Genomic DNA, 23660 nt, shown 5'->3' on the forward strand with positions numbered 1-23660 from the left:
ACTGGTAAGTCTGGAGTCTGGAACTGGGGCAGCAAGAGCAGGGGACAAGAACAGGCTAGCTAGGCTCTGGCCCTGAGGCCGTTGTTCCCCACCACCAAAGGTTGGGTTCTCCCTAAACCCCAAAGCCAAGCCTCTTACCATTTTTCAAGTGTTTCTGCCTGCCCTCTCTGAGTACTGGACTATCTCTGAGCTTCTCCCCCGAGCTTCTTCTCCGGAAAGATGCCATGCATGCACTCTGATGAGCAGCCGAGTTTATTTTTAACAAATCTACACTGCAGTTACTGTGTGACAAGTACTGTCCTAGGCACTTTGTAAGTATTAATTCAGTTAATCCTTGCAAGAACCTAATGAAGTAGGGACTACTCCATTTTGTAGGTAGCACAGAGAGGTTGAGCAACTTGCAGAGAACACCCAGCAGGTAAGTGGTGGAGGCAAAATTCACACCTAGGGCAGTCTGGCTTCAGGCCACAGTGCTTCGAAAGCAGCAAAGCAAGCACAATGGTCAGGCAGACCTGAGCTCCTATCCCTGCTCCCCTAGTTGCCAGCTGTATGATACCAGGCAAATTACTTAATCTCTGAGGTTCACTTTCCTTATTTGCAGAAGAGAGGTGCTCATTTTCCATACATAATACTGTTTATATAAGGATTATTTTTAATGAGGAAAATTTCAATTTGAGGAAATGTCATTATTTCCCTCTTCCACTTTCAAAGGACTATTCTCTCCATTTTTGCCTCTGTCTCTTGCCCTGGAAGAACCCCTACCCCATCAGTAAGCAGGCCTCAAGAATTCCGAGCTTGGGAGTCACGTCTGTGCTTCCAAACCCCAACGCTGCTGTCAGAATTCTCAGGGATGGAAGGAACTTCACTCTCAGTGGCTCTCAAAGTGGATGGTCAGCATCACCGAGGAACCTGTTAGAAAAGCAAATTCTCAGGCCTCACCCCAGGCCTACTACTACTACTCTGAGGGTGAGGCCCAGCAATTTGTTTTCACAAGCCTTCCTGATGATTTCTGACACACACACAAAATTTGAGAACCACTTCTCTAGTTTACAACCCCCATCTGTAGCAAAGGCCAAAGTAAAATTGTGTTAAGAAAACACCGTGCTTTTTTTTTTTTTTGAGACAGAGTTTCACTCTGTCTCCCAGGCTGGAATACAATGGTGTGATCTCGGCTCACTGCAACCTCTGCCTCCTGGGTTCAAGCAATTCTCCTGCCTCAGCCTCCTGAGTAGCTGGGACTACAGGTGCATGCCGCCACACCCAGCTAATTTTTTTTTTTTTTTTTTTTTGAGACAGAGTCTCCCTCTGTCACCCAGGCTGGAGTGCAATGGCACAATTTTGGCTCACCACAACCTCTGCCTCATGAGTTCAAGCAATTCTTGTGCCTCAGCCTCCCAAGAAGCTGGGACTACAGGCATGCATCACCACGCCCAGCTAATTACTTATATTTTTAGTAGAGACAGGGTTTTACCATGTTGGCCAGGCTGGTCTCGAACTCCTGACTTCAGGTGATCCGCCCGCCTTGGCCTTCCAAAGTGCTGGGATTACAGGCATGAGCCACCACACCCGGCCTTTTTTGTATTTTTAATAGAGATGAAGTTTCACCATGTTAGCCAGGCTGGTCTCAAACTCCTGACCTCAGGTGATCTGCCGATCTCAGCCTCCCAAAGTGCTGGGATTACAGGCATGAGCCACCGCCCCCGGCCTGTGCTTTTTAATGTTTCAAAGCCATTTCCCTTTCCCTAACCCATGCGGAAGACCAAAGCATACAGAAGACCGAAGTTGCTTTCCAGACTTACAGAAGAGATAGTGTCTAAACTTAACTGTCCTCATGAGCAGAGAACCCCAATAGCTCTGCCATCAATGATTTTATTCCCAGAGCTGTTAGAAAAGGACAGAACATGTGCATAGCCACCAGTTCTCTGGCTAGCAAATAGTCGTTGATGCTCACTGAGACAGAGTCCTGGCCCAGGAGTACACATTAATACATGTGGACAAGACTCCTGGGCCCCTGAAGGGGACTCTATGTCCTGGGCACTGCCATGTGTGCCTGCACTGCTTCCTGCTTCTGCCGCTGTTCTGTCTCTTGATCCTCCACTATAACCTGCCGGGCTGCTTGTGTGATCCCCACTTTAAAAATGAGGAAACAGGCTCATCTCACCCAGTCACTCACTTGGTATACATCCAAGTCAGCTTAGCCCCGGTGTCTTCTCCATTCCTGCTGGCTAGAATGAACTATGTGTTACTTTGGGAGAACTGTTTCAAAATCTTGAACACTTTGGATAGCATTGTGATATCCCCCGGTTTAAATCCTTTGACCTTAAAGAAGATAAATAGCCAAACTTATCATGAAAAGATTCTTCAACTTGTATTAAGGAAACAGAAATTAAAACCACAATGAGATGCCATGACACATCCACTAAAATGATTAAAATTTAAAAGACTGACAATACCAAGTATTGCTGAGGATGTGAAGGAGCAACTGGAGTTCTCCAGCAACATTGTTGAAGGAAATGCAAAAATTACTCAGCCACTTTGGAGAACTCTTTCGCAGTTCCTATGAATGTGCAGTTTATAAACACCCATTTACTGAGACAGCTGAAAAATATATATCCACAAGAACACCTGTACATTAACAGTGATAGAACCCTTATTTGTAAAGCAAAAAACAACAATTCAACTATCCATCAACAGGTGAATGGTAAACAAATTGTGGTACATTCATGTAATAGAACATTACTCAGCAATAAAAAAGAAACAAATTACTGACAAATGCCAGAATATAGACCTCTCAACAACAGGCTCAGTGAAAGAGGCCAGACACAAAAGACTATTTAGCATATGATTCCATTTATATGAAACTCTAGAAAAAGCAAAAATTTTTTTTTTTTTTTTTTTTTGAGACAGAGTTTCACTCTTATCACCCAGGCTGGAGTGCAATGGCGCCATCTGGGCTCACGGCAACCTCCGCCTCCTGGGTTCAAGCGATTCTCCTGCCTCAGCCTCCCAAGTAGCTGGGATTATAGGTGCCTGTCACCACTCCCAGCTAATTTTTGTATTTTTAGTAGACACGGAGTTTCACCATGTTGACCTCAGATGATCCGCCCGCGTCAGCCTCCCAAAGTGCTGGGATTACAGGCATGAACCACTGTGCCCGGCCGGCAAAGCTAATTTCTAATGGCAAAGCTCAGATCAGGGGTGATGGAAGAGGACATATGACTGCAAAGAGGCACAGGGAACTTTCTGCATAAAGGAAATATTCTATATCTTGATTGTGGTGGTGGTTATATGAGTGTATGCATTTGTCAAAACTCAACAAACTGTACACTAAAATGAGTACATCTTATAGTATGTAAATTATGCCTCAAAAAATTGACTATAAACGTTCTTTGTGGCCCCACATCAATCTTATGTTGTCCAGGAAACCTTTTCTGATCAATACTGTCCTCAGCTGCATTTATATCTCCTCCTCTCACCACTTGCTCTCCTGATTAGCATACCCTGGAGCCCTCCGTTACAGTCTAACTCATGCTGCTCAGGGCCAGGCACACAGGGCACAAAAAAGGATCTGTAGACAAGGGAGGAACTGAATTAATGGTATTTGAAAAAGTGACAGAGACATCTGCCAGGAAGTAGGGTTACGTCTTTCTGTGACCCTCAGTTTATCTGTAATAGGAATGGGGTGGGGCAACCACAGGATCTCTCTCTCCCTTTTATCTCTTATCATCTCTTTCACTCTGCTTCTCATCATGCCATCTCTATTTTAAGCGCATGTGCATTCTCTCTGTCTCTAAGTCTGCTCCTCTTTCCTACCCCGGCCCTGTCTCTCCATCTCTGTCTTTAATCTGCCTCTCATCATTGCCTCCTTCCTCTTTTTTGGTCTCTGTTCAGGCTGTCAATAAGAGCTCCAGCTGTGCACAGGTACCCCATAGAAGCAAGGCATGCCGATTCTCTTGCCACATTCCCGACAGGCTGGACCTGTTAGAAAGGCATAAGCTGGTCTATCAGCTATATGGGACTGGGGAGAAGGGGAAATGAAAAGAAGGGTAGAAAGGGAAGGGGAGAGATTTGGAAAGTCACCGTTCAGGAGACACACACGCCTGGTACACTGGATGCAGGGGATTCGGCCTGCTGGACTCTGGCAGAAGCTCTGAGTTCCCAAGAAAAGCTGTGGCCCTCTCCTCCACACGGCCCAGCCCGTGTGCCCAGTCCAGAACCCATGCCACAGGACACAGCCTATAGCTGATTAAGAGCACATGGTTGACTTTCACGCCACCCTGGACTAGAATGCCTCTTCAACAACTTAGCAGCTGATAACCCTAAGCAAGTTACATCACTTCTGTGTGCCTCAGTTTCCTCATCTCTAAAATAGAGGTAAAAATAACACATGAGGCCAGGCACGGTGACTCACGCCTGTAATCCCAACACTTTGGGAGGCCGAGGCAGGTGGATTACCTGAGGTCAGGTGTTTGAGACCAGCCTGACCAACATGGTGTAACCCCGTCTCTACTAAAAATAAAAAAAATTAGCCGGGCATGATGGCGTGCTCCTGTAATCCCAGCTACTCAGGAGGCTGAGGCAGGAGAATCCCTTGAACCCTGGAGGTGGAGGTTGCAGTGAGAAGGAGAGGCAGGAGAATCCCTTGAACCCCACCTCCCGGGTTCAAGCGGTTCTCCTGCCTCAGCCTTCTGAGTAGCTGAGATTACAGGCACCTGCCACCACGCCGGACTAATTTTTGTATTTTTAGTAGATGGGGTTTCACCATGTTGGCCAGGCTGGTCTTGAACACCTAACCTCAAGTGATCTACCTGCCTCGGCTTCCCAAAGTGTTGTAGCCTCATTCATTCATTTTATTCCACAGTTACTAAGTATCAATTTTTTTTTTTTTTTGAGACAGAGTCTCACTCTGTCACCCAGGCTGGAGTGAAGTAGTGCGATCTCGGCTCACTGCAACCTGTGAGGAGGGCAGTCATTCACTCTCTCTGGAACTCAGTTTCATAGTCTGTACAGTGGGCATGGCCCTTGCTTCTTTGTTTATTTTAAACAAACACTTTCTGAGCAGTAGTGCTGGGCCCTGTGCTGGCTGCTGGGGATGTGAGGGGACCCAAGAATCCATTTGCACTGCCTCAGGAGACTAAGGTGTGTGCCTGCTAGAGGCTTACAAAAATTGAGAGGAATAGAATAAAATTTTGTACATAAGCTCAGTCCTTTGGTGGCACACAGGTGGGCATCTTGCTTCTCCTGGGTTATTCCCACATTGTCTTTTTTTTTTTTTTTGAGGCGGGGTCTCGCTCTGTCGCCCAGGCTGAAGAGCAGTGGTGTGATCTCAGCTCACTGCAAGCTCCCCTTCCCGGGTTCATGCCATTCTCCTGCCTCAGCCTCCCGAGTAGCTGGGACTACAGGCGCCCGCCACCACACCCAGCTAATTTTTGTATTTTTAGTAGAGACGGGGTTTCGCCGTGTTAGCCAGGATGGTCTCAATCTCCTGACCTTGTGATCCGCCCGACTTGGCCTCCCAAAGTACTGGGATTACAGGCATGAGCCACCACGCCCGGCTCCCACATTGTCTTGTTTCCCCACACCCTTGGGGAATTGGGCCCTGCTGAACTGGGTGGCAGGAGGAGGGGGAAGGGTGAACACCACGTGAACCTCCTCAAGGCAGAGAGAGCCAAGGAGTTAGGTTGCCCTGGGACTCGCAGCGGAGCTGAAGGTCCTTCCTCTACTCCTGTGTCCCTTCCTCCAGCTCCTTCTCCTGTGTCCCTTAAACATGCCCACAACATGGTGCCAACCACACTTATCTTGGTGTCTGTGTACCCCACCAAGACTCTCAAAAACTGGGACCACATCCGTGGTTTGTCTATACCCCAGCATATCATGGAGGCAGAGTAGGAGCAAATATATGTATGTTTTAAAAATAAGAGGAGCAGAGACAGAGCTGGAGAAAGAAATTGAGAGAAAGGGAAATCACCCAGCAGGAACCTGGGCCATGAACTTGAAGGAAGCGGAACTGGCTAGCCCTCCTGGTCCTAGAAACCAGCCACAGGGAAATGTGAAAGTACATCCTGTATGTCCTTGTGAGGAGAGATAAATATTTCCATGACTGCATGAGCTGTGAGTCCCAGCCCCTTCCTGGGACAGCCCAGGAAATGCAGGCCTTAATGGGGGTTTGGGGATGGGTAGACTCTCCCTATCTCCACAGATGGTCTCTGTGCTGGGTTGGGAGGTGAGGGCAAGCAGAGGTCTTGGAGAGTCACAGCACAGGCCCCTCGTGTTTTTGGGGGTTTGGAGCAAGTCACTCACAGGAGTGACTCAGCTATAAAACATGAACCTGCTCCCCTTCCAACCAGCATCTAAGACCCAGTATCACTTTATCAAGGTAGGAACATCGGTTTTAGGGAACTGAAGCACATGCTTATTTCAACCTGCTGCTCCCAAGGGATAAGGAGGAGAAAAAGAAGGAGAACCTAGGCTCTGAAGCCACACAGGCCAGAGTTCAAATCCTGACTTCACCACTTAATTCACCTGTGTGGCCTTGGGCATGTCACTTTACGCTTGAGTCTCCATTTCCTCACAGGGATAATCCTAATCTGATGTTCAGGTTAAGAGCATGGGATCTGGGCCGGGTGTGGGGGCCCACACCTGTAATCCTAGCACTTTGGGAGTCTGAGGTGGGCAGATCACTTGAACCCAGTAGTTCAAGACCAATCTGGGCAACATGGTGAAACACCATCTCTACCAAAAAGAAGGGCATGAGATCTGGAACCAGACTGCCAAGATTTGAATCAGTATATTGGCTGTGTGAACTTGGGCCACATTACTTAATCTCTCTATTCCTATTTCCAGCCTACTAAATGGGAGATTAGAATAGTATCGACTTCATACAGTTGTAAGGAATAAATGAGTTAACAAATGTAACAGACTTAAGACATAGCAGGTGTGTTCAGTAAAGGTTAAGTATTGTTATTACTGCACCAAATTGTGATGATTAGATGAAGGAATATGTGTAATAATGCTTTCCTTTAAACCCTACTGATCCCCAATGCGGCAAGCAAATAGTATTGGTTCCATAGCAGACAGTTTCTGGTCTTTAAAAAGATCTCTAAGAATAGTTTCATTTTCCTTCCCTCAATCTCATTCTTATTCCACTATCCTGAACCAGGAGTTTGTCACTTATTGCAGGTCTTTTCTTCTGATTTGTCCCATTTCTTGGTAATTCTGAGTACTTCTGAGTGTCTGCATGTGAAGCTGCATATTTGCTTCCACTTACCTGGAAGGGCTATTTTGAGGTCTAAATGAGATACTGAGTAGGACTCTGATCAGTGTTAGATGAATATGATTCTGCACATATGAGTCCGAGCATGCACACATGCACACCTACAACACTAGGATCTAACAGCACCTTCTTTTTCTTCGTTATGCTCCTCAGAGTCTAGCACATCGCCCATGACATAGCAGGAGCATTCAGCAGATCTTTTCCGTGTAGCTCTTCCTTGGACAAGAGGATCACACACAGTCCCTGTTCTTGAGGAGCTCCCAAGCTGGTTGTAATGAATTCTGAGAGGACAAGACAAGGACCAGAGAAAGCGCTATGGAACTTCTTTTCTTTTCTTCTCTTTTCTTTTTTTTTTCTTTTCTTTTCTTTTCTGCAGCCTTGATCTCCTGCAGTCAAGTGCCTCAGTCTCCTGAGTAGCTGGGACTACAGGTGCACATGGCATCATACTCAGCTAATTATTTTATTTTTATTTTTTTGTAGAGACAGAGCCTCCCTATGGTGCCCAGGATGGTCTCAAACTCCTGGGCTCAAGTGATCCTCCCTCTCAAAATGTTGGGATTATAATGCATGAGCCACCGTGCTTGGCCTGCTATGAAGTCTCTAAGAAGGATAATATCACTTCCACATGAGGATTCCAGGAAGATTCTTTTAGGATGGGAGGGGAGGCAGAGGTTTTCGGGGGTCCACAGGACTTTGAACCTGTAGAGAGTTTGGAGGCAAAGGGAGTAATGTAAGCAAAGGTAAGAAGGCTGAAGAGTGTCTGCGTGCATGGGGGCTGCCTTCCTTTTCTGTCCTTTGTGGTATGTCCAGGCGAACAGAGAGGCCTGGGTTTGATTGCTCAGTACCTAACTTTCTGACTCACATGCCACGGCATATGGTAGTAAAACCTGGAAGGCTAGAGTCCTGAATTCCAGCCCCAGCTCTTGCTTACAACATTGTGTGAACTTGAGCAGGTCCCATCTCTTCTTTGGACCCCAGGGTCCTCACGCATAGGAGGACTAAGTGATTGCTTAAAGCCCTCAAGCTCTCACACTCTTGGATACCTGATGTCATCTTTCCGTTGTGTTTGTGATCAGCCCCTCCCTCACCCCTTTGTGGCCCCAGACCTCCCATGAAGAGGCAGGACACAGAGCTCTCCCCAAATCCATCCTTTTCCTGGAGTTCAGCCTCTGACCAGGAAGTGGGAAAACAGGATTTCCTCTGAGGATGTTCTCTGTGACCCAGACAGTTCCGGTTTGGGGAGTGGGGAGGAAGAGATAGGGAGCATCATCCAGGCTTCCAAACCTTAAAGCACCTTTTCATGGGCTTTATGTTTTGAGCTCCTTAGAAACGGAATGCGTAATTCAGAGCTGAAGAAAGATATGTTGGTACTTTGAACAGATAGTACTTAACACTGTTGTGGGGAATGACAGAATTTCCTTTTAAATTATGAAATATGTTAAACACTGTATTAAATAAAAAGTAAGGAAATATCACTTCTGCCTGTGGAAATCCTTCAAAATCTTTCAAAGCCCAACTCCAGTGCTCTCTCTTGCAGGAAGCCTTTCTCTCCTCTGGATTTTCAAACAACTGCTCACATACGATTTCCACACCATCATTTCATACAATCACAGCATATCAGAGAAACTCAGGGCTAACCCCTTCACCTCAAAAACTGAGAAACTAAAAGCCAGTGACTTGTCCAATGTCACAGAGTTTGGGACAGAGCAACAACAGGAAGCCAATTTTTGCTGACTCCTAATTTGGTGTTCTATCTACTTGTGTGTCTTTTCTTTCCTATCTTTGGTTCCCTTCCCCAAATCCCCTCTTCCAAATGCTATACCTATTCATAGCTCCTTGCTTTTGCAGAAGTGGTTCCCTCCATCAGAAATATCCCCGGCTCCTCTTTTCTTTCCTATTACTCCTGATTCTGGGAAAATGTCACCGCCTCTGTAGAATATTCTGAAAATAACCTCCCATCTTCTCTTATATTCTCACGTTGTGTTGTTTCATTATAAGCACTTATCTAATGGTACTGCTAATGTTTGCGTGTCTCTCCCTCATTAGACTGAGTTCCTAGAGGGCACATTTTATTCATCATCTTACGCTCAGCTTCTAGCTCGGTGTCCAGCAGGATCAACATTATTTATCTGTTGAATGACTAGGTGCAAAAACGATACTGGTGCGTAGAGGAAAGGTGGAGGGAGTGGCTGCATTGGGCTAGATGCTGTGGAGGGACACTAGGCTGGTGTCCTGCTTGTTAACTATAAGTGTATGATTTTAGCCCAGTTATACTTTGGTTCTGTCTCATCATTGGTAAAAAGGGATCAATTTTGCCTGCCATACATATTTCAGTAGGGTTTTGTTGTGAGAATTCTATGTGAAAAATATGTGGAAAAGCACTTTGCAAAGTGTGAAGGAGTCTGCAAACGTCAGACATTATCAGGAAATTTATATTGCTGGTATAAGGGCCCCTCAGTTAATCTAGGAGGCTAGGGAAGGTTCTGCCTTCAGGAGCAATGCCTAGAAAACAAGGGCACAGAAGGAACTTTTTATTCCTCCAATTTCCCAGAGCCCTTATAGTACAGACTCAGTACTAGTTTATCACATTGTAAAATCAATGGAAGTGAACACTTTAACATTAACAGAGCTGGGGTTGCCTGCTTCAGAACATATGAGTAAAAAATGATTGCTTCTGGTCTTGGCTAAAGGGCAAGAGATTCCTTCCTGAAGAAAAGGAAAGTGGGGCAGCTTGGAGGAGAGCACAGTATTTAAAGACAGCATTGGCTGTAGTATTTGAAATAATTTATTCAGCTCAAGATCTATTTCTTGCAGAAAGCTCTCCCTGAATTCCTCAGGCCGGAGAGGTTATATTTCTCAATGGCTTAGTAAGACCTTGAGCTCTAGAGTTATACTTAAACTTGAATCTCTGGTAGCAACTTACATGGGTAAATTACTTACCTGAGGCTCTTCCCTCAACTATGAAGATAACAATCACTGTCTTAGTCTGTTTTTATTGCCTATAACAGAAATATCTGAAACTGAGTAATTTATAAAAAGAAATTCATTCTTACAGTTACAGAGGCTGAGAAGTTCAAAGTTGAGGGGCTGCATTTTGTGAGGGCCTTCTTGCTGTCAGGGACTCTGCAGAATCCTGAGGTGGCACAGGGCATCCAAGGTGAGGGGTCTGAGCATGCTAGCTCAGGTCTCTCTACCTTTTCTTTTTCTTTTTTTTTTTGTGAGATGGGGTCTCACTCTGTTGCCAGGCTGCAGTGCAGTGGCGCAATCTCGACTCACTGCAACCTTCGCCTCCCAGGTTCAAGCGATTCTCCTGCCTCAGCTTCCCGAGTTGCTGGGACTACAGACACGCACAACCACGCCCATTCACCATGTTGGCCAGGATGGTTTCTAACTCTTAACCTCGTGATCCGCCCGCCTCAGCCTCCCAAAGTGCTGGGATTACAGGCATGAGCCACCGCGCCTGGCCTCCCTTTTCTTATAAAGCCACCAGTCTCATTCCCATGATAAACCATTAATCCATGAATCTATGAATGGATTAACCCATTTAAGAGGGCAGAATCCTCATGACCCAATCAGCTCTTAAGGGCCCCACATCTCAACACTGCCACATTGAAGATTAAGTTTCAACATGAGGTTTGGAGGGGACAGATATTCAAACCATAGCTATCACCAACTGGTGTCAGCCAGGAGTCTTAAATGAACTAATGCATGTGAAGTGCTCTGCACAGTGCCCTGTGAGCACACAGTAAGTCTTAAAAAGATGGACATGATCACCAATACATTGTTTTGGCTCCTTAGAGTCTAGATCATTCATGTTGGCTTTTCATCATACTCTCATAACTCTTGTGACTATTTCCTGGGTGTATCTGTTTTCTGTAGAATCTTTACAGCTGGCAAAGGCAAGGATACTGTTTAACATGTCTACATCCACTTCTGTGGGGCTTAGCACAGGGCAGGATAAAGCAGAGGACAAAAGTGGAGCATGGAGTAGTTATTGATTTAAACTAACCGGCAAGGGGCTTAGAGGTTGAGTGAGGAGACTTTTGGCGAAGTGGGGTAAGAGTGGTTGCCAACTGGCCAGGACTCGGACTAACAGGTTTGTTTCCCAGAAGTTAGGTAATATAAGTTCCATCATTTTCCTATTCCATTTGAAGTAGCATCCATGTTATCTTATAAACAGTATGCTGCAGGACTGGAGGAAAGAAATTCAGAGATATGTCACTTGATAGGCAAGTATCTCCAAAGTATTTTTTTCTTTTTTGAGATGGAGTCTCACTCTGTTGCCCAGGCGCGTGCAGTGGCGCGATCTCGATTCACCATAACCTCTGCCTCCCAGGTTCAAGTGATTCTCCTGCCTCAGCCTCCCGAGTAGCTGGGACTACAGGGGAGTGGCATCACGCCCAACTAATTTTTGTATTTTTAGTAGAGGTGGGGTTTCACCATGTTGGCCAGGCTGGTCTCGAACTCCTGACCTCGGGTGATCCGCCCACCTCGGCTAACCAAAGTATTGGGATTACAGGCGTGAGCCACCGCGCCCGACCTAAAATTTTAAAATCCAATTTTCCCAGTACTAATGCTTTCTCTAAAGATGCCTAAAAGCTATCATAGCAACTAATTTGCCAAATAACTTGTACTAGGCCATTTTTGCATTGCTCTAAAGAAACATCTGAGACTGGGTAATTTATAAAGAAAGGAGGTTTGCGGTGGTGGCAGGGGTGCGGGTTAGGCACCACACACTTTTTAAGCTTTTAAATGACTAGATCTTACCTGAACTCACTATCTTGAAGATAACACCAAACCATGAGGGACTTGTCCCTGTGACCCAAACACCTCCCACCAGGCCCCACCTCCAGCATTAGGGATTACAATTCAACATGAGATTTGGTGGGAACAAACATCCAAACTCTATCAACCTTCTCATTGTAAAACACCTTCCAGAGTAGGCTTCGGTAATGGTTCCTCTTCTCTTGGCACATGTTTAGTAGAAAGAGACATTGTTTTGTTGAATTAATCTGCAGTCTAAATTCAGGCTCCAAAACTGCTTAGACATTTTAATTAGATGTGGCCTTGGCCAGGTGCGGTGGCTCATGCCTGTAATCCCAGCACTTTGGGAGGTCAAGGTGGGTGGATCACCTGAGGTCAGGAGTTCGAGACCAGCCTGGCCAACATAGTGAAACCCCCGTCTCTACTAAAAATACAAAAATTAGCTGGGTGTGGGGCCACGCCCCTGTAGTCCCAGCTACTCGGGAGGCTGAAGCAGGAGAATCACTTGAACCCCAGGAGGTGGAGGTCGCAGTGAGCCAAGATCGCACCACTGCATTCCAGCCAGGGCGAAAAAGTAACTCTGTCTCAAAAAAAAAAAAAAAAAAAATTAAATGTGGCCTTAAATTGGATGTGGTAATTAGACTTTGCCTAAAAAGCTTAGGTTCCATTTTTACTATTAAGATAGCTTCGTTTGGTATAAACATTACAGGGCTCCCAGTGATAAAGGTACTTGATGAGGCTGTCAGTTAATTCACTGTTTCTTCAATAGTGTGCAATATAAATCGTATCTACACTCGTTGAGTGAAACTGAGGGCTAAACAGAACACACTTGAAGTGGCACTGACAATTCCATTACGTAAACTTACTCCAATAAAACATGTAAGTGAATTTTTATGCTATTTATTAAAATAACTAAAGTCTCAAACAATGTGCATGGAAACACAGGGCAAGACATCACCACTGCCACTTACATGTCTTAATTTTAACTTGAAAGAGCAATGATGTAGGGAAAGATGCACTAACTGGTCCATGGCTCCAGTGGGGAAGAGTAGGGAGCCACCATGTTACTACACTTGGGCTTGCTACTGTAAAGTGATATCAGGTTTTCTCAGAAAGCCACAGCTGGGTTGAAAATGGATCCAAAGTCCATTTATTTCCAGTTTACATATCAACTTTGATATGAAGCAACAACATCTCAATTTAACTTCATCAGAAAAGCCTTATCTTTCAACTCAATGAGGACTCTTTAATTTATATTCAAATGTAACAATTTAAGACCTTTTAAAAAGGTTGTGGGGGATGTGCCAGGAAAGAACTGATACACTCATCGACTTGGATGTATCTTAGGACATCATGCCAAGTGAAAACAGCAAATTTCAAAAAGGTACACACTATATGATTCCATTTATATAAAAGATTCTCAAAAGGCCAAAATTCTAGTGGTGGAGAACAAATCACTGGCTGCTGGGGGTTAGGGTTGGAGAGACCGTGTGTTTTAAAAGGGTAGCACTAGGGAGTTTGTGGTGATGGAATAGTTCTGTATGCTGACTATGGTAGTAGTTATGTGATTCTATAAAAGATAAAATTTCAGCCAGGCAGTGGCTCACGCCTATAACCAGCACTTCGGGAGGCCGAGGTGGGCAGATCACGAGGTCAGGAGTTTGAGGCCAGACTGGCCAACATGGTGAAACTCTGTCTCTACTAAAAATACAAAAATTAGCCAGGTGTGGTGGCATGCACCTGTAGTTCCAGCTACTTGGGAGGCTGAGGCAGGAGAATCACTAGAATCCGGGAAGCAGAGGTTGCAGTGAGCCAAGGTCGCACCACTGCACTCCAGCCTGGGCAACAGAGCAAGACTCCGTCTCAAAAGATAAAATTTCATGGCTGGGAGCGGTGGCCCATGCCTGTAATCCCAGAACTTTGGGAGGCAGAGTGGGCAGATTACTTGAGATCAGGAGTTTGAGACCAGCCTGGCCAACAAGGTGAAACCCCATCTCTACTGAAACTATAAAAATTAGCCAGGCGTGGTGGTGTATGCCTGTAATCCAAGCTACTCGGGAGGCTGAGGCACAAGAATCACTTGAACCCAGGAGATAGAAGATGCTGTGAGCCAAGATCACGCCACTGTACTCCATCCTGGGCAACAGAGCAAGACTCCATCTCGAAGAAGAAAAAAAAGATAAAATTTCATAAAGCTATATACCAAAAAGTAAATAAATGAGTGCATGTAAACACTTGTGAAACCTGATAGGTCTGTGGTTCAGTTATTAGCATTATAGCCAATGTCAATTGCTTGGTTTTGCTCATTTACTATGCTTATGTAAGATATTATCACTGGAGGACACTGGAAGAAGGGTATACGGGAACTCTCTGTATTATTTTTGTAATTTGGGGGCAGTCTAAGAGTTTTTTAAAAAGTGGAGAATAAACTATAACAGACAACAAAGGAAAATAGTCAATCTAGACATTTTATTAAGTTCTATTAAAAAATATTAAGACATCTGAAAAACTCAGAAAGTTTATAAAACACACTCATACTCAATAATTTTCTTATTCTTTGATAGCCAGTGTGACATGTTGAAGATGTTACACCAAAACCAACCCACCATACTGCAAAAAGCTGTATCTCGAGTTTAATCAACATGCATCCTAATTAAGGGGAAATACACTCTTGTATAAAAGAGTGTAAGTTTTTATTAAGTTGTTTTTAAAAATAACTTTTCCCTTAAACTTAGGAAGGGTTGATTTCGCTAATTTACCCAACACCATGATAACTTATGTTCTTTTAATGATATAGGATAAATGCAGAGATGCAACATGCTGGAACTTCTTAAAATATACAGTATAGCTGGGCGCAGTGGCTCACGCCTGTAATCCCAGCACTTTAGGAGGCCGAGGCGGGCGGATCACCTGAGGTCGGGAGTTTGAGACCAGCCTGACCAACATGGAGAAACCAGTCTCTACTAAAAATACAAAATTAGCCAGGCGTTGTGGCACATGCCTGTAATCCCAGCTACCTGGGAAGATGAAGCAGGAAAATCGCTTGAACCCAGGAGGCAGAGGTTGCAGTGATCTGAGATCCTGCCATTGCACTCCAGCCTGGGCTACAAGAGCAAAACTCCGTCTCAAAAAAAAAAGTACAGTATAAAAGAGCAGTTGAGACTTAGAGCTGGATAGTATCTGTCTACTACTTAAACTTGTAGGAATAACTGATCTCAGGGCTTTTCTTAAAGGTTTCAGTGATGTTGAACAGCTCTATTTGAACAATGAGAACTTAGTCCTATCACCAGCCAGCCATCTCACAGAAGTCACTCTTCCCAATTGGCTGCTACCAAGAAACAGTGACTCCAGAATGATCAGGAGCCTTGTGGTAGGCTCCTGTTTTCCCTAAGTATCTTCAGGAGACACCCTGTCCCTGTATTAAAAGGGCAGGGAGTTAAAAGGTTAAAATAATTTTGGTAACTGTCTGAGACGTTTTACATCTAAGAAGGTGCCTACTGAATTCATGCTATTCATCTGCTTTAGCGTTTCAGAAGGTTGCAAACTTTCAGGAAAAATTGTAATGTCCCCTTCATTTTCTTTCTCAGGATGTTGAGTGAACTCTGCTTTCCCGGTTCGAAGGTTCACTGCAGGACTTGGTTTAAGGTTCTTTACTAAGAAAGCTGGCTTTTCAGTCAACTGCTGTTTTGCTTTTGTCTGCAAAACTTCATTTGTAATATTTCTCAATACTGGCGTATCTGCGTTGGTCCCCACAGATTCACAGTTAGAACAATTAATTATTTCATGGTCATTCTTAGAAGGCTCTTTCTGACCACCAAGCTGTTCAGGTATGGACCTAAGGTTCTGATTCAATAAATATTCACTCTTGCTATCTGCATTGTCGGGAGGTTCCTCTTCATCTTCACTATTGTCACTGCTTTGTAGGAGTCCATATCTCTTCATATATTTTTTGGTTGCAAATGACATGTTGTTTGGTGAAATTAAACTAAGCCCCACTGTGCTTCTGTCTGTATTAATATGGAGAAGGCTGAATGGGTCACAATTATTTTGGTTCGATCGAGTGACAGACAGTTGTGACAGCTGATTTTCATTTAAATATTTCAGAGCTATAGCATTTGCCTCCATGCTCAAATCCACACCATTGGGGCTTAAGCCGCTCATGCCAACATTAGCAAATGACATGCAGTTTAATCCAGAGATCACTGCTTCTGGGCTGATGCATGCCAACACACTGAAAGACACAAAGTAGTAAGCCATCATTTACCATATTCTAAGTAATACATAGTTCTCAATGTGTTCCATTCTATACAAGCAACAAAAGATCTTCAGCTTTAAGTTCATGGTCCTTTTATCTAACTACTCAGACATCTAAGTCTTGATGATCCAGATACACAAAGGATACATATGGGCTGGGTATAGTGGCCCAAGCCTCCAATCCCAGCAGATTGGGGCACTGAGGTGGGAGGATTGCTTGAAGCCAGGAGTTCAAGATCAGCCTAGGCAATATAGCAAGATCTTGTCTCTACAAAAAAATTTAAAAATTGGCCAGGCATGGTGGTGCACATTTATAGTCCCAACTACTCAAGAGGCTGAGGCAGGAGGATTGCTTGAGCTCAAGAGTTCAAAGTTACAGTGAGCCATGATCGTGCCACTGCACTCCAGCCTGGGCAACAGAACAAGACCCTGTCTCTTAAAAAAGAAAAAATAAAGAAAAAATAAAAAAAGGGATACAAATAATAGCCTAGAAGGTAATCCATGATTTACAGGTTTAAAGTGGAATACAAATTAATTTTCCTAAATCTGTATATCAGTCATGGTTTTAAGAACAAATACAAGGCCCCAAATGTAAAAGTCATCAACATAGCTATGAGTCATTTAATTTACGACTATTAGCCCAAACAGCACAAGAGATCAGCTAATGTTTAATGTAAAGTAAAACATAAAAATAAAATCAAACACAAAACACATTTGATTATATAACAGTACAAGCTTTAGTAAGTAGCTCAGAAAATTAAATTGTTCATAGTTGAAGAGATTCCATTTGCAATTAATAAAAAACATCAACCAGTCTCTGGATATGGGCTTATACACACACACACACACACACACACACACACACACACACACACACACGAATACTTTTTTCATTAGTTATAATCTTCAACTTACTTTGATTAGTGTTAAGTCAACTGACTTACCTTTTCCTTAATATCACATATATAATAAATAGCTGCTAATTTTTTTTTTTGGAGACAGGGTCTTGCTCTGTTGCCCAGTCTAGAGTACAGTGGCAACTGCATGTCATTTGCTAATGTTGGCACAATTACAGACTCAGGCTGCTCTCAAACTCCTGAGGTAAAGCGAGCCTCCCTCCTCGAATTCCCAAAAGTGTTGGGATTACAGGCGTGAGCCACTGTACCCAGCCTGCTAATTACTGAGTCGTTATATATGCCAGGTACTCTATTAATGCTTTACATGCATTATTCATATACATTCCTTACAGTAACCTTTGTCAGGGAGGTATTCTCTATGGAATATTTCTATCTTATTCTCCATTTCAACATCTTACATTCCCTTTCCCCTACTTTTTTGTTTTCTTTTTAGCACTTACCGCGGTCTATACATTGAATACACACATCTACATATTCAATCAATGCTCGATTCTTATTTATTGTCTAGCACCCTCATGAAAGCCAATAAGGACAGAGTTTTGTCTGTTCTCCTGGCCCCCACTGCAGTATCCTCGATGCCTGGACACACATAGTAGGCACTCAGTAAGTACTTGTTGAATGAATAAAAGTAGTAGGTACTATTGTTATATTTACTCTCAGTTGAGAAAACTGAGGAATAGAGATTTGAGCTATTTTTTCCAAGCTAAATAGTACATAGCAAGCTGAGATAATCCATGACTGCCTTACTCTCTGGGGCTCTGCAACCACTCTTTTACTGTACTATATTCAGTAACTTGGATTTTTTCTATCAGAGTCCTTTGTGCACTATTTGTTGTGGTGAACATTATATTCTAGTCAAATATGCTATGGCTTTCTACATCATCCCATGAAGAAATTCAGCTGTTTTATATGTGCTAGCCACTGCTTGCATTCACAGACCCACAAAAATCAAACAACCATTATATATTTTCATTCTTATAAGCACCTGAAATTCGCAAAAAACTATTTCCAACCACTAATAATCCCTGAAACCAGGCCAGGCATGGTGGCTCCCGCCTGTAATCCCAGCACTTTGGGAGGCCGAGGTGAGCAGATCACCTGAGGTCAGGAGTTTGAGACCAACCTGGCCAACATGGCAAAACCCCGTCTCTACTAAAAATACAAAAAAATTAGCTGGGCGTGGTGGCGGGTGCCTGTAATCCCAGCTACTCTGTAGGCTGAGACAGGAGAATCGGTTAAACACAGGAGGCGGAGGTTGCAGTGAGCCGAGATTGCGTCACTGCATTCCAGCCTAGGTGACAGAGTGAGACTCTGTCTCAAAAAAAAAAAAAAAAAAAAAAAAAAAAAAATTCTCTGAAACCAGTGATGCCATCACCAAACAATGGAACAGTGTGCTCACTAATGCTGGTCTTTACAACCTTGAAATTCTCCCTTAATCTTCTTGGCATTTAATGCTTTGAAGACTATTTTAATAAGATGAAAGAGATACTACTAATTTATCCAGACATTATTCTTTTATTCATAGTGACAATACTTTTGGAAGTCTTTTTCTACTTTGCCTATTTCCTCAGTCTATAGATAATGTTAATGTAAATAATTTGATAAAAGCAAAGAAAAACTACTAATTCAAAATGTTAAATATTTAAAGAAAGCAGGTCTAATTTGGGTTTTTTTTTTGTTTTTTTTGAGACAAGGTCTCACTCTGCCACTAAGGCTGGAGTGCAGTGGCGCAATCATGGCTCACCATGGCATCGACCTCCCAGACTCAAGTGACCCTCCTACCTCAGCCTCCCAAGTAGCTGGGACTACAGGTGCATGCCACCATGCCCAGCTAATCAAAAATTTTTCTTTTTGTAAAGATGGGGTCTCACTATGTTGTTCAGGCTGGTCTTGAACTCCTGAGCTCCAGTGATCCTCCCATCTTGGCCTCCCAAAGTGCTGGGATAACAGGCATGAGACACCATGCCCAGCCTCTTAATTTTAACTAGGGCTTCTTTTATAGAATGGTTAAAAGATCCATAAAGTAGTCAATATCAGTTTAGAAGGCTATTCAAGTTTCAATGCCTAACACAAGCTAGCCAATTTCAATTTGGAGGGTGGGCTAGGGGCAATGAGATATCATTACTTTAATAGCAAAACAAATCAAGACAGGCACAGTGGTATGCACACCTGTAGTCCTAGCTTCTCAGGAGCCTGAGGCAGGAGGATTGCTTAAGCCCAGGCATTCAAGGGGCCACCCTAGGCAAAATAGAGACCACATCACTAAAAAAAAAATCAATAATACTCAGAAACCAAAGCATATAAACACTAGGGTAATTAAGACGAAAAGCAAAAAGGAACCCATTCCACTAATCAAATCCTAAAAGCCTGAGCACAAATATATGCCTATGTTAAAATCTCATTAGATGTGCAGCCACAAGGAATGATGAAAGTCCATGAATAAATTTGAGTTAGCCACATGTCAACAATTTATGGGAAGCTCTAAAATTATTCCAACTCAGATGACAATCAAGACCCCCATCTCTACAAATAAAAATAAGCTGGGTGTGCTGCTGCACACCTGTAGTCCCAGCTACTCAGGAAGCTAAAGTGGGAGGATCACTTGAGCCCAGGAGATTGAGGCTGCAGTTGAGCCATGATTGTGCCACTGCACTGCAGCCTGGGCAACAGAGCGAGACCCTGTCTCTCAAAAAAAAAAAAAAAAAAGTCAACTTTGATTCATGATCCTATTTGAATCCAGATTAGTTATCTACTACTTATCCTACACAGTTTTTCAACTACTAAGCAGATAGCCAGGAAGCAAGGTAAAGAAGCAACTAGAGAGACTACTTGAGACAGGTTTTGAATTCAAAAAGTCACTCCAATTGGGAATATGTAGAGGTTGCTTCCAGACCTCGAACCCACAATCTCCATTTCCTGCACAATTTCTAGGTTTGTCTGGCACCCTTTTTCCCTGCCTTCCTGCCTTTAGACTCTCTTAATCTCTGCGGCATTCTATTAACAGGAAAATAGAAAGCAGGTCTTCCTTCCCCTGCCTTAGCCACTCTTCTGGCGGAATGATGTGCTCCTGGAGTCCAGAACTGGAACATGAAATGAGTTTTCACATAGACACAATGATAAAAGACGGCTGATTTACAGAGCTAGAGGAACAGCATGGATTATAAGGATTAGTTTCCTAGAATATTCAACCTATAATCTGTAACACTGTTTCTATAGAAAAATGTGTCTTACATTCTAAACAACGGCCTTATAAACTTTTAGTATACCAGTTATATTATACCTACACATGTTAAAAAGTTAACAATATAAGATTATAAATACTGACAGTAAATACTACAAAGACACTAAAAATGAACCTTCACTGTAAGCGTCGGTGATGACCTGAGTAGGAGGAATGTCGTTCATTCAGCAAATGACTCATTGAAGGCCCACTAAGTTAGTGGTAGAGGCAATGAGGATTTAGAACTATATAAAATCTTCGCTGGAGCAGTGGCTCATGCCTGCAATCCCAGCACTTTGGGAGGCCGAGACTGGCAGATCACAAGGTCAGGAGTTTGAGACTAGCCTGGCCAATATAGTGAAACCCCGTCTCTACTAAAAACACAAAACTTAGCTGGGCGTGGTGGTGCGCACCTGTAGTCCCAGCTACTCAGGAGGCGGAGGCAGAAGAATTGCTTGAACCTGGGGGGCGGAGGTTGCAGTGAGCCAAGATCATGCCACTACACTCCAGCCTGGGCGACAGAGCGAGACTCCATCTCAAAAAAAAAAAAAAAAAAATCTTGCTGAAAATGTGTCATAAGTACATGCTACAATTTACTGAGAACGAGGTATTTTAAGAGTACAAAACATCGGCCAGGCACGGTGGCTCACGCCTGTAATCCCAGCACTTTGGGAGGCCGAGGCAGGTGGATCATCTGAGGTTGGGAGTTCGAGACCAGCCTGACTAACATGGAGAAACCCTGTCTCTACTAAAAGTACAAAATTAGCCGGGCATGGTGGCGCATGCCTGTAATCCCAGCTACTCAGGAAGGCTGAGGCAGGAGAAATCACTTGAAGCCGGGAGGTGAAGGTTATGGTGAGCCCAGATCATGCCACTGCACTCCAGCCTGGGCAATAAGAGTACAAAACATCAATACACTCTGAGAGGTCCAGGAAACTGACCAAAGAGGTGACATTTGAGTTCAGCTTTGAAGGATAAGGATTTTGGCAAGCAGAAAGGTAAAAAAAAAGAGCACCTCAGATAAAAGTAACATCAAGGAATCTTGCAAATGCCAATGGCAAGTAGGCTGGAACTTGGTAGAGAATGGTAGGACATTATACTAAAAAACTAAGTTTAAGTCAAACTGAAACAATGCGAATTAATCAGGTAGGCCTCAGATAGGCTGGGAGGATATTCCAGACGGAGCCTAAGATAACAGGGAAACTAAATTTAACTCTTATGTTGGAGAAACTATTGCAGTACAGTTTCCTATTTAATCAAAATGACATAGAGATGATGGCACACGCCTGTGGTCCCAGCTACTCAAAAAGCTGAGGCAGGAGGATTGGCTTCAGCCCAGGAGTTTGAGGTTACATAAATTATGATTGTACCATCATACTCCAGCCTGGGTGACAGGCCTGGGTGACAGAGCAAGATCCTATTTTTAAAAACTAAAAAAAAGTTTTAAATATACAGATATTGCATCAATAATAAAATATAACTTTCAAAACTTTAAGATATTTTTGGTCTTAATTAGTACAGATCTTTAAAAGGGGCCATTTTGATGTAGATCAATTACAACACAGTATGAAATACTCCTAAAGTTAGCTACCTTTCTTTTTTCCTTTCCTTTATAAATTAAGTTAGCTACCTTTCCTATGTGATTCCATGGCATTCCCTATCCTTCCATTTCATAGCAGGCATAAAAGATATTGACTATCTGTGTCTTCCCCACTGAACTGTAAACTCTATGAGAACAAAGATGTCTTTCTTTATCAGGTTATCTTGTGTATTACGATATCTCTTATAGGCTGGCTCATAGAAACTCAGTAAGTATTTGTTGAAGTGAATGTATTGGTGAAATGGTAGCTGGCACACATGTATATGTGTAGCTGGTAATAATACTTACTCTTTCAGAAAGCAACTTAGCAACAGCTTTAAAATTTTTGTATCATTTTACCTTAGTCTTTCCATTTCCGAGATTCTATTCTAAGGAAATAATCCTAAAACTGAAAAGCAATATTTGCAAAAGATCATCACAGCAACATTAAAATAGTAAGAAACCACAACTAACGTGACAAGTTGGTTCTCAGTTCTGACAAGAGGGGAAGGGTTAGGATACATAGCCTCTATCTTGCAACATGGATAAAAAACTCAAAAATGCTAGCCTCACTCTTTTACACTATTGGTAGGAATATAAACTGGTACAACTATTTGATGAGCAATGGTAGCATCTACTAAGACTTTGAATGCACATACTCTTTGATCCTGCCTATCTAGGAATTTATCCTACAAAGATACTTGTACCTGTAGAATGATGTTCACTTAGGATTGCTTGAAATAACAAATAAGAGATTTGGCCTAAAGGTCCATTAATAGAGCACTGGGGTTCAATATATTCTAGTACAAGGGTACAAAAGAATATTATGCAGCTGTTTAAATACAAGAGAAAGAACTGTATATCCCTATAAGGAAAAGTATCCAAGATATTATAATATCATGTTTAAAACAAAAACAAAAAAACAGGCCAGGTGCAGTGGCTCACGGCTGTAATCCTAGCACTTTGGGAGGCCAAGGTGGGAAGATTGCTTGAGTCTAAGAGTTTGTCTGAGACCAGACTGGGCAACATAGCAAGACACCATCTCTGCAAAAAATAAAAAATTAGCTAAGTACTGGTGCAAGCCTGTAGTGCCAGCTACTCAAAAGGCTGAGATGGGAGGCTCACTTGAGTCCAGGAGGTTGAGGCTGCAGTGAGCTGTGATCATGCCACTGCACTCCAGCCTGGGTGACAGAGCGAGACTGTCTCAAAATTAAAACAACAGCAACAACAACAAAAAATCAAATCACAAAGCTTATCACATACACATATACTTGAACATGCATGGAACATTTCTAGAATACAAAAGAAATGGTTAAGAGAAGTAACTTTGCTTTTTTTTTTTTTTGAGACAGTCTTGCTTTGCTATCCAAGCTGGAGTGCAGTGGCGCAATCTCGGCTCACTGCAAGCTCTGCCTCCTGGGTTCACGCCATTCTCGTGCCTCAGCCTCCTGAGTAGCTGGGACTACAGGCGCCCACCACCACGCTCAGCTAATTTTTTGTATTTTTAGTAGAGACGGGGTTTCACCGTGTTAGCCAGAATGGTCTTGATCTCCTGACCTCGTGATCCGCCCACCTCGGCTTCCCAAAGTGCTGGGATTACAGGTGTGAGGTACCGCGCCCGGCCTTTTTTTTTTTTTTTTTTTTGACTGAGTC

The 23660-nt window shown here is 43.3% G+C and overlaps 1 protein-coding gene across 52 annotated transcripts in view; it reads right to left on the reverse strand.

Annotated features, from left to right (window-relative positions):
* STIL (STIL centriolar assembly protein) overlaps nt 14485–23660 on the reverse strand; it is a 64758-nt gene continuing 55582 nt past the window's right edge. For all 52 annotated transcript variants that reach the window (NM_001377417.1, XM_047428403.1, XM_047428312.1 and 49 more), the window contains one exon: nt 14485–16268. In NM_001377417.1, coding sequence (NP_001364346.1) covers nt 15482–16268 — 787 coding nt within the window. In that variant the 3' untranslated portion in view covers nt 14485–15481. The remainder of the gene's footprint in view (nt 16269–23660) is intronic.

Source organism: Homo sapiens, chromosome 1 (genome assembly GCF_000001405.40).
Source record: "Homo sapiens chromosome 1, GRCh38.p14 Primary Assembly".
In the NCBI taxonomy this organism is placed as follows: domain Eukaryota; kingdom Metazoa; phylum Chordata; class Mammalia; order Primates; family Hominidae; genus Homo; species Homo sapiens.